Source organism: Homo sapiens, chromosome 1 (genome assembly GCF_000001405.40).
Source record: "Homo sapiens chromosome 1, GRCh38.p14 Primary Assembly".
NCBI classification, from domain to species: Eukaryota; Metazoa; Chordata; class Mammalia; order Primates; family Hominidae; genus Homo; species Homo sapiens.
This window is the reverse complement of record NC_000001.11, coordinates 59,553,836-59,565,959: the sequence shown is the minus strand read 5'-3', so window position 1 is coordinate 59,565,959 and position 12,124 is coordinate 59,553,836. Positions and strand designations below refer to the sequence as shown.

At 42.0% G+C, this 12,124-nt stretch overlaps 1 protein-coding gene across 59 annotated transcripts in view; it reads right to left on the bottom strand.

Moving 5' to 3' along the window:
• The window catches only part of FGGY (FGGY carbohydrate kinase domain containing), a 466,353-nt gene that overhangs the window by 196,771 nt on the left and 257,458 nt on the right, over window positions 1-12,124 (bottom strand). For all 59 annotated transcript variants that reach the window (XR_007061929.1, NR_103473.2, XR_007061930.1 and 56 more), the window contains one exon: window positions 11,733-11,836. Coding sequence is in view for 56 of the 59 variants with exons in the window: in XM_011541731.2 (XP_011540033.1) it covers window positions 11,733-11,836 (104 nt within the window). In the remaining 3 variants the exon portion in view is untranslated. The remainder of the gene's footprint in view (window positions 1-11,732; window positions 11,837-12,124) is intronic.

The following is a 12,124-nucleotide window of genomic DNA, read 5'->3' as shown; positions in this document are numbered from 1 at the left end:
GCAGCAGGGAACAGGGGAAGATTAAATAGGGAGTCTCATAAATACTCTCTTCCCAGGGGATGATGGTGACAAGTGATGTTGTTTATTTTTATTGTTATCATTAGGCTGGTGGCTTCTTGAAAGGAAGTGATTTGGAAGACTGGGAAAAAGGGAAAATGAAAGCACTGCGGTCTAGCTGTGATCCAGCCTTAACTGTGCAGTTCTCATCAGGCTCTGGGAAAGATCTGCTGTGTAATCACTCTACCTCATTCCCACAAAACACGTGTGTTTATGGTCAACCCATCCCACAGCCTGTGTCTCATCATTCTGCTTATTGTTGAGAGTCTGAGCTCTGGAATCCAACTGCCTGAGTGGCAAACCTATCTGTAAGACTTACGGCCAGGCGCGGTGGCTCACGCCTGTAATCCCAGCACTTTGGGAGGCTTAGGCGGGTGGATCACAATGTCAGGAGATCGAGACCATCCTGGCTAACGCGGTGAAACCCCGTCTCTACTAAAAATACAAAAAATTAGCCGGGCATGGTGGCGGGTGCCTATAGTCCCAGCTACTCAGGAGGCTGAGGCAGGAGACTGGCGTGAACCCGGGAGGCAGAGCTTGCAGTGAGCCGAGATGGCGCACCTGCACCCCAGCCTGAGCAAGAGTGCGACAAGACTCTGTCTTAAAAAAAAAGAAAGGACTTACTAGCTAGACAGCCTTGGATAAGTCACTTGTCTCTCTGAGCCTCAGTTTCAGTCCCCATAAATTGGTAAGATAATTCTGACAACTGTATAAGGTTATTATGAGGGTTAAAAAAATCCAAATAGACCATGATAAACATATAATAAATATTAGCTGTTATTGTCATTGCTGCTAATCAAGGCAGTCCTCCAGAACTTTCCACTCCCATATACCACCCCCATCCCACCCCATTCCCTTGTACCCTTGGGAGAAGAACCCATGCTGCCAATCAGGAGGGAGCTAAAACACAGCTGCACCATTTTCGTCCTCTACTTCTAGAGGAAGAACTTACACCATTCTTCCAGGCAACTTGCAGTCTTTTGTGGAAAACTGGGCTCAGGCCATCTGATAGATAGATTCCCCCTAAAGGCTTTTGTTCCTGACCTTCTGAGATGCCTTGTTTCACCTGACTTTGCCGTGTTCCTAGTGGGTTTCCAGAAACATGGGGCCAGATATCCCTGCCTGGCTTTTATAGAAATGGAATGTCTGGATCACAGGGTAGAGTAGGTTTTATGAAACTGCTAAAATGTTTTCCAAAGTCGTTGCATCATTTGACATTCCTGCCAGTGGCATGTGAGTTCCAGTTCCCCACATTATCACCACAACTTCAGCCATTCTAGTAAGTGTGGAGTGGATCTCACTGTGTCTTTCACTTGCATTTCCCTAACGACTAATGATTTTGAGCATCCTCTGCTCCTCTAACAAACAAACACTGTGCAGTGCCTCATGGTCCTGGATGAAACATGGGCCCCCCAGGCCCAGGCCACACCCTTTGCCTCTGGGGAACGTTTTCTTTGGTGTTCTGAGGAAGCTGTAAAGTGCTGTTATAGACATCACCCAGAGAACACAGCTCTAAAAACGTAGCATGGTCTGAAGGGTGGCTTTTCTGTGGTTAGAGCCCAAAGACACTAAGGCCAGAGGCTCTCTAACTGATTTCTGAACAGTTGTTAGATGGAGATACTGCAAAATTTTTCTCCCAATTTGTAGGTTGCCCGTTCACTCTGATGACAGCTTTTTTGACTGTGCAGATGCTCTTTAGTTTAATTAGATCCCATTTGTCTATTTTGGCTTTTGTTGCCATTGCTTTTGGTGTTTTAGTCATGAAGTCTTTGTCCATGCCTACATCCTGAATGGTACTGCCTAGGTTTTCTTCTAGGTTTTTTACGGTTTCAGGTCTTATGTTTAAATCTTTAATCCATCTTGAGTTAATTTTTGTATAAGGTGTAAGGAAGGGGTCCAGTTTCAGTTTTCTGCATATGGCTAGCCAGTTTTCCCAACACCATTTATTAAATAGGGAATCTTTCCCCATTCCTTGTTTTTGTCAGGTTTGTCAATGATCAGATGGTTGTAGATGTGTGGTGTTATTTCTGAGGCCTCTCTTCTGTTCCATGGGTCTACATATCTGTTTTGGTACCAGTACCATACTGTTTTGGTTACTGTAGCCTTGTAGTAGAGTTTGAAGTCAGGGAGCATGATGCCTCTAGCTTTGTTCTTTTGGCTTAGGATTGTCTTGGCTATACAGGCTCTTTTTTGGTTCCATATGAAATTTAAAGTAGTTTTTTCTAATTGTGTGAAGAAAGTCAATGGTAGTTTGATGGGAATAGCATTGAATCTATAAATTATTTTGAGCAGTATGGCCATTTTCACGATATTGATTCTTCCTATCCATGAGCATGGAATGTTTTTCCATTTGTTTGTGTCCTCTCTTATTTCCTTGAGCAGTGGTTTGTAGTTCTCCTTGAAGAGGTCCTTCATATCCCCTGTAAGTTGTATACCTAGGTATTTTATTCTCTTTGTAGCAATTGTGAATGGGAGTTCACTCATGATTTGACTCTCTATTATTGGTGTAACCCGTCACATAAACAGAACCAATGACAAAAACCACATGATTATCTCAATAGATGCAGAAAAGGCCTCCAATAAAATTCAACACCCCTTCATGCTAAAAACAATCCATAAACTAGGTATTGAATGAACATATCTCAAAACAAGAAGAGCTATTTATGACAAACCCGCAGCCAATATCATAGTGAGTGGGCAAAAGCTGGAAGCATTCCCTTTGAAAACCGGCACAAGACAAGGATGCCCTCTCTCACCACTCCTATTCAACATACTATTGGAAGTTCTGGCCAGGGCAATCAGGCAAGAGAAAGAAATAAAGGGTATTCAAATAAGAAGAGAGGAAGTCAAATTATCTCGGTTTGCAGATGACATAATTGTATATTTAGAAAACCCCATCATCTCAGCCTTAAAATTCCTTAGGTGTATAAGCAACTTCAGTAAAGTCTCCAGATACAAAATCGATCTTTTTTCTGTTTTTAAAAAGCATTATTGAGCTAATAGCTTTCAATAAACTGTACATATTTAAGATGTCTGATTTGGAAAGTTTTGACATAGCATAGATCAGTGAAGTTATTACCACAATCAAGATAAACATACCCAAATCTTTCCTTGTGCCCCTTTTTGATCCTACTTTCCTGGCCCTTGTTGTGCCCATTTCATGATTCCAGGCAACTACTGATCTGCTTTTTGTCACTATATATTAGTTTGCTTTTGCAAGAATTTAAATAATGGAACTATTTTTTATTCAAGAAAGTTTGCATTCGTTTCTGGTACAGTGACTTTGGAAAACAGTTTGGCAGTTTCTTAAAACTTACATCTACCCTGTGATCCAGACATTCCATTTCTATAAAAGCTGGGCAGGGATATCTGGCCTCATGTTTCTGAAAGTCCACCAGGAACATGGCAAAGTCAGGTGAAACAAAGCATCTCAGAAGGCCAGGAACAAAAGCCTTTAGGGGGAATCTACCTATCAGCTGGCCTGAGCCCACTTTTCCACAAAAGACTGCAAGTTGCCTGGAAGAATTAATGGCTTCTGTCACTCAGCATAATTATTTTGTGTGATTAATCCATGTTGTACCTTATATTATGGTTCATTCCCTTTTACTGCTTAGTAGTATTTTGTTCTCTTGATACACCAAGAGTTGATCTATTCACTCTTGAAAGATATCTCGGTTGTTTCCAGTGCTGGACTATTACAAAGCTTTATTTGTTGGTATGAACATTACTGTACAAATTTTTGTATGAATACATGCTTTTGTAAGAGTGGAATGGCTAGATCACGTAGTAGGAATATGTTAACTTTGTAACTGCTAAACCATTTTCCAAAATGGTTGCATCATTTTACATTCCCACCAGTGGTGTGTGAGAGCTACAGTTCCTCACATCTTCAGCCATTCTAAGATGAGTAGGAGTAGTAGAGAATCTTACTGTGGTTTTAATTTGCATTTCCCTAATGACCAGTGCTTTTCATTCAAATTTCTCCTTTGGTGAAATGTCTGTTCAAACATTTGCTCATGTTTGGCCCTTTTAATTGAGTCTGTTCTCCCTTTCCTCTAGGCCTTTGAGGGAAGCTATACAGCTGAAAGGGAGGAGGAAGGACTCTCTGGTCAGTCTTCCAGAGGGCTCAAAGTGTTGCATTCCTACACATTGTGTGACCCACTTAACCACTCTTTGCCTCAGTCTCCTAACTTGTAAAATGAGGGACAGTATGGTGCCTACTTGGTAGGATTGTTGAGCTATTTACATGATACAAAGTTTTAGTAAGGTGCTTAGTACATGGTCCGTGGTCAACAGATGGTAGCAAGTAGTATTACTGCTTATCTCCTCATGAGGATTGAGGAAAGGGTGCTACTGCCTGGGTTCAGAGATATTAAACATACTCAGTCCAGCATAATGTTTCTATGTTTCTCAAATGTCTTGAAAAACAAGCTACCTTGAGCTTCTTGAGTGCACAGTCTGTCTCTCATTGTCCACTGAACCACATCAACCCTCTCCTCGCCGAATCAATGCCTAGCATATACTTTGTTTTCAAAACATGCAGTCTGAGAGCTAGTCTTGACACAGAGAGTGTCCTGAGAATGCTGGTTCCTAGAGGGCTGACGACAACAGGTCCTGGTAAACAAAGAGGAAGCGAGGCACCTTCTGAGCAGCACCTCAGCACTTTCATTGTTAGGTGTAACAGTGGTCTACTGTACCGTGTGGAATCCCATCCCACTCCACCCCTCTGGTAACTTCTGCCAATGTCACTTGTTAAAGAGACCATGACAGAGAAACTGGTCCCACTTGCCCACTCTTCTCAGCTAGTAACAGAAGACCATCAGTTCATAATACATGACTGTGCTGTCTCCCTGTGGTGCCCTCCCAAAGGGCTCATACACACCCACATCCTGCTCAGGCCTCAGGGGAAGTCAGCTGTGAGGCTTTGTGGACACAGCAAAGAAAAACAAAGTGGAGAAGACTGAGGAAAGGGCCTACTACAGAAATTGGGCTGGCAGGAACAGTGTCTCAGTGGGGGCGGGGAAGCCATGATCCTGCAAATATCTCTTCCTATAGGAAAACCTCCTCATCTACCCAAGACTTGGGACAGCCCCTTCTTCCTACTTCCACCACACTCCAGCCATGCATTAACTATAGTAGTTACCATTTTGTATTGTAGTATCTCCTTTTTCTGTCTGTCTTTCTCAATGTGCCTGAGCTCTTTGAAGGCAGGCATGACATTTTATCTTATGAAGACTTTTAGCACTTAGCCAGGTAAATTAAAAAAAAAAGTTTTCTTTATGAGTGAATAGTTAATGAATATTTTAAAAATAAATTTTAAATTTTAGAATAGTTTTACAATATAAGATGGTTGTAAAGATCATATATACCTCACATCCAGTTACATTTCCCCTATCATTACTATCTTGTCAAGTATATATGTCACAGTGAATGACACTGATATATTATCATGAACTGAAGACCATACTTTATTCAGATTTCCTTAGATTTTACCTAATGTTCTTTCTCTGCTCCAGGATCCCATCCAGGATACCATATTACATTTAGTTATCATGGCTCTTTAGGTTCCTCTTGGCTGTGATAGTTTCTCTGACTTTCCCTGTTTTTTGATGACCTGGATGACAGCTTTGAGAAATACTGGTCAAGTATTTTATAGGATGTCCCTTAACTAAGATCTGTTTGGTGTTTTCCTGGTAATTAGACTGGGCTTATAGGATTGGGGGATGAACACAACAGAGACAAAGTGTCATTTTCATTACATCATATCAAGGGTACGTACTATCAACATGACTTATCATTGTTGATGTTGACCTTGTCACGTGGATGCTGTTTCTCATATTTCTCCAATGTAAAATTACTCTTCCCCCGTTTTCCATACCATATTTTGTGGAAGGAAATCGCTATGTGCAGCCCACACTTAAGGAGTGGAAAGTTATGCTCCACCTCCTTGATGGTGGAACATTTATATAAATTATTTGGAATCTTTCTGCATGGGAGATGTCTCTCTTCTTTTCATTGATTTATTTATTCAAAATAATTTATGTCAGTATGGTCTTATGGATATTTATGTTATACTTTGAGTTATAATTCATAATACTTCATTTTACTGCTTAAATTGTTCCAGTTTTGGCTAGTGGGAGCTCCCACAGTTGGCTCCCTGTGACATATTCTCATCTTTTTTGTTGAGAACTTCCTAACTTTCTGGCACTGCAAATGCTCCAAGCTCATCTTGTATATTTCCTATTCCAATCCTAAAATCAACTATTTCTCCAAGGAGTCCTGGTTCTTTGTATTGGATAATGGTATTAGATACCATGATCTGGACACTATGTGCTTGTAAAAACTAGCTCTTGAGGTATCCTTATTTCTAGACCATCTCAGCTAACAGAGCCAGGAAATAAATATGTGTTTACTAACCTGTATATGTATATATATCCATAACTATTTCTATATGCATCCATCTGCATCTATGTTAAACTAAATATGAGTTTGTTTCAGGAAGTCAGGGACCTCAAACAGTGGGACTGGCTGGAGCTGCAGCAGAGGAACATAAATTGTGAAGATTTCATTTTAATATGGACATATATCAGTTCCCAAATAATACTTTTATAATTTCTTACGCCAATCTTTACTTCAATCTCTGAACATAAATTGTGAAGATTTCATTTTAATATGGACATTTATCAGTTCCCAAAATTAATACTTTAATAATTTCTTATGCCTGTCTTTACTTTAATCTCTTAACCCTGTTATCTTCATAAGCTGAGAATGTACTTCACCTCAGGACCACTATTGTGTTAACTGTACAAATTGATTGTAAAAGATGTGTGTTTGAACAATATGAAATCAGTGCACCTGGAAAAAGAACAGAATAACAGTGATTTTAGGGAACATAGGAAGACAACCATAAGGTCTGACTGCCTGTGGGGTCGGGCAAAAAGAGCCATATTTTTCTTCTTGCAGACAGCCTAAAACAGATGTGCAGGTAGGGAAGATATCGCTAAATTATTTTCCCAGCAAAGAATATTAATAATTAATACCCTGGGGAAGGAATGCATTCCTGGGGGGAGGTCTATAAAAGCCACTCTGGGAGTGTCTGTCTTATGAGGTTGAGATAAGGACTGAAATATGCCCTGGTCTCCTGCAGTACCCTAGGCTTATTAGGGTGGGGAAAAAACCCACCCTGGTAAATTTGAGGTCAGATCGGTTCTCTGCTCTTGAACCCTGTTTTCTGTTGTTTAAGATGTTTATCAAGACAATACATGCACAGCTGAACATAGACACTTATCAGTAGTTCTGAATTTGCCCTTGTACTGTTTCCTCAGAAGTATGTGATCTCTGTTCTCCTTTTTGCCTTTGAAGCATGTGATCTTGTGACCTACTCCCTGTTCTTGCACCCCCTCCCCTTTTGAAATCCTTAATAAAACTTGCTGGATTTAAGGCTCAGGTGGGCATCATGGTCCTACTGATATGTGATGTCACCCCCAGCAGCCCAGCTGTAAAATTCCTCTCGTTGTACTCTTTCTCTTTATTTCTCAGCCGGCTGACACTTACGGAAAATAGAAAGAACCTACGTTGAAATATTGGGGGTGGGTTCCCCCAATATGAGTTCATACTGATGTCTCTAATTCTAGTCCATAACCACATGGATTGTTCATGTGATTAACAACTCATTTTTAATAACAATATCATATTTGGTATTTTGTGCCAGGTACAGTGCCAAGTCATTTACAAAGATGGCCTAATTTGAACCTGAACAAAACTTTATGGGTAAATACTATCACTCACATTTAACAGATGCAGAAACTGAGGCACTGAAAGATGAAGCATCCTGCCTAAATTCACACAGTAAGTGGTGGGGGCAGCGTATGAGCCTATGTCTTTGAGTCTCCACATCCCTTCAATGATAGAGAACCACTATCTCAATATTAAGACTGAAAAAACTTCAGTTCTGAGCGATTTAAGATGCAGATGTAGTTCCCAGCTCTCTTCAGGTATTGTTCTGCTCAAATCTTACCTCCTCAGTGTTTCTCCCTACCCCGACCCCCCCAGGGTCCTGTCCCCATCTGACATGCTAACTGGAAGACAAGTTGCCAAGTTACAACCCAACCTGACAGCTCAAGAAAAGGATGTCAGTACAATGGCAAGGATCAGCTCCATCTTACCCCATGACTTTTCAACCTCTGGCTAACCCCTGCTGTGTATTATCTGGGGTTTTGGTGACTTGGTAGTAATTAACTCTGAACAAGCAGCTCTGCTTTCATGGAGTTAAAAAAAGAATGGCATTTTTCCCCTGTTAATTAAATCACCCACAAGGAAGATAAATGTGCAGCCCATGCTTGTATCTTCTAAAATATCAAAGGCCTTATTAACATGTCTTATGTTCAACCTCAGGCTTTTTCTCCAGATTCCTGGAAGCAACAGGAACCTGGAGGTACGAAGCTTCTAAGTATTTACCAATACTCACTTATGTGGTCATTCGTTCATTCATTTATTCTTTTTGGGTGATCTAGAAAGAGGCAACCTGGATCAAGCACAAAACGTTCCTGGGAATTTTGTCTCAATCTACTAAATTGGAAACATCAGAAGTAAGCAGACAGGAAGAAAGAGGATCCTTCAGATCATGCTGAAAACCACTTTTTGAAAAGCCCGCATCACCCTTTGGTCCCTGTGTTCTGTTTGGTTAATTTTTCCTCACAGTGGCGGTTTTATTTGCCAGAACCACAACAAAGGGGGTCCTTGAGTCTCCCTGGGAGTGTTTCCTCAGACCTGCACCTCTCCTAGACCTCACAAAGGTGTTATTGTTGCTGGGTTCCCAGCACCTGAGGAGATCAAAGGCACTTTCCCATGCCAGCATGACCACAGTCTCACCCTCATGACATAACATTAAAGCTGATGATTAATCCCCTTGGCCCAGAGGGTCCCTTCCCACTCCCAAGTACAAAGCAGGATGGGGGTGGGGACTTTATTTCCAGCACAACACAGCCATCATAAACTGGCCTTTTATGGCCCTCATTCATCGCAACCAACTGCAGCTGCCCATCAAACTCGTTAAAGCCCAAACAGTTGCTTCATGTGAGCCGTTTACATCACTAGGAAAGTTTAATAACAATCTCCACCATTTTTGAGTGTCTGCTGTGTGCTAGGTACAAACCTACATAATGCATGTTACTCAACAACCCTGTGAGACTGGCATCATTATCCCCAATTTGATGGATGAAGAATCTGAAGCTTAGAGAAGTTAAGTAGCTCACTCAGGTCAGAGGGCCAAAACATGCATGAGCAGATGTTCAAGCTTGCCTCTGGACAATGTAAAAGCCCATGTTCTCACCATTCCTCTATGGGTACATCATCTTCATGCACAATTCAGGGAGGCAAGGAGGAGTATGAGCTTTGGAATCAGAGTTAGATTTCAGTTCTTAGCTCAAGAACTTCAAAGCTTTGTGACTTTGGGAAAATTACTGGACTTTTCTACGCTTTAGGTCCCAAATGTGTACATTAAATGGGTAGGGAAAGCCAGCCTCATCTCCATTAAGAGACAGTAAGACTAAGAAGCAGGCCATCACAGAGACACTTGCATCCATTTAGATTTGCTTCTGTTCAGAAATCTGAATTGAGTGGGGTAAAAATGCCTGAGATTCAGATCTCCCAGGAGAAGCCTGATTAGATGTATCCCTGTGAAAATAAGAGATAATTTAAACAGGATTAAATCAGTATTCAGTGAAGACAATCTAACAAGTGTAGACTCATATCAAGGGAAAGAAGGGCTGGCTCCTGGGCTGGTGCCTTCTGGCTTAAAGAGGCCTCAGGCCTCTGCAGATCTCTCCCTTCAGGGACAGCTGAGCCTTACAAAAGGGCTGCTGAGCAGAAGAAATATGCTGAAATTATTATTATTATTTTTGAGATGGAGTGTCGCTCTTGTTGCCCAGGCTGGAGTGCAATGGCACTATCTCGGCTTGCTGCAACCTCTGCCTTCTGGGTTCAAGCAATTCTCCTGCCTCAGCCTCCCAAGCAGCTGGAATTACAGGTGCCTGCCACCACGCCCGGCTAATTTTTTGTATTTGTAGTAGAGACGGGGTTTCACCATGTTGGCCAGGCTGGTCTTGAACTCTTGACCTCAGGTGATCCACCCACCTCGGCCTCCCAAAGTGCTGGGATTACAGGCGTGAGCCACTGTGTCTGGCCAAATATGCTGCAATTTTTAAACTTAGAAAAATTCCATTCAAGACTGCCCAGAGCCCAAACAGAAGGAAATCTATTTCCTTAAAGTCCAGCACAAATGTCACCTCAAGAAGATTCTATCACCCTGCACCCTCCCAGGCAGAGTCAGCCACTGTTTGCTTTCTGCTCAGTAACAACAACAGTCCTAGTGATTAAGAGTGAGCCCTTGTGATGTGCTTACTGCATGTGGAGCACTTAGTATCACCTCATTTAATTCTTGCAGCACTCTGACAGGTGCTGTCACTCTCTACATATTGTAGATGAGGAATCTGGGACCCAGAGAGTTTAAGTACCTTGCCCAAAGGCCCACACTTAGTAAACTGAGGAAGTGGGACTGGAAACCACTCGGGCTGGCTCCCTCAGCCATAGAAAATGGGATGCCATGTGCAAGAATACCTCGCATATTGCTTGGCACATAACAGATGCTTAGTATCATGAGTTCAATTTGTATCTACATTGGGGGGCCTCACATTATATTCTAATACCTGTTATAACTTCATCTCATCCCACTGAGCCGATGTCATTCTTATATCCACAGTTTAGCACAAGAGCAGGGATTGATAAGTAAGTACATGTATTTATATCAACTGAACTAGAATATCTGATGGTAAAAAGGCTCAGGGGTCCCTACAGTTGCAAAACAGTCTCACATCCCACTTAATTTCCTCCATAGCTGCTTTGGTTCTGCCCTGGGCTGTGTCCCGCTCTAATCTCTGCTCATCTCCCTGCTCCTCCCCCACTCTGCCCTCTATTATACTTATCTGGGAAAATTCCAAAGAGTCGTCGATTTAAGTTTAACAGAGTAATGACTTTTAAATAAAAATATGGTAGAAATGGGTACTTATCGGAATGGAATGCTTTCAGACTCATGCATTTAAAGAAGATATAAATTTTAGGGCAGGCACTAAATTTTAACTGCAATCTTGGAGAAAGCCTTTTCACTAATTCATGGAGAAAAATTAACAAAGTGAAAATTGCTTATCAGTGTTCTTTTGAAGTCATGATACGCAGGCTAATTCTATAGATCATCAGGACGCTCCCAGGGAGATGGATTTATATTGATTGAGAGAGAGTTCCCTGGCCAAGGAAAACAGACACTCTTTGCCGAGAAGACCCCGCTACCCATTAGGGACAGATCAGTCTGGGGGAGCTAGACTTTGTCACCTTAGGATCAGATGTCACCATTCATGCCTGGGCTCTCTGGCCAGGGTGACGTCAAAGGGAGCACTCAATCCTTTTCATGCTTACTAAGAATTTGGCCCCTGGAAAAAGATCCAGCAAATGTTAAGCAAGGGAGGTAGAGTGGGGAGCTGGGCTTCTGGCTAGACAAAGCACAAGGGGCAGGCAGGGAAAAGAGGAAAGAAGTGAAAGGGTGAAGAAGCCAGCACTCAGGGTCTCCTTCCAGGCTACCTCCTGCTGTGTGGTGGCCTTGCCTTTGTGCTCAGTGGACTCACCCCCATGTGACAAGAAGACGTTCCACAGATGACAGCCAGCCGTGACGTCACTGGCTGCCCCTCACAGATGAGGCCGTGCCCTCTCACATCTGCCCCAATCACTCCTGTGAGAAAGGAAAACAAAAACAAATCCTCTTTAACACATAAAAAAAGAGGGAGAGAAAGCTAAAAACAAGCATTAACAAATCTTCTTTTTAATAGTCAAACAACATGGAGGAAGGGTCCTGTGTGTAGGGCAGTCTCAAGGAGAAACCCAAAGGGCATACTTGCCTGCATAGGAAACCTCGGAAGCCTGCTCAGATTTTGCTTTGTTCTGGTCAATGTATGGCACCCAACGTTATAATAATGGCAGTAATTGTGATTGTCATAATAAAAGCAGCAGCTATCAGTTA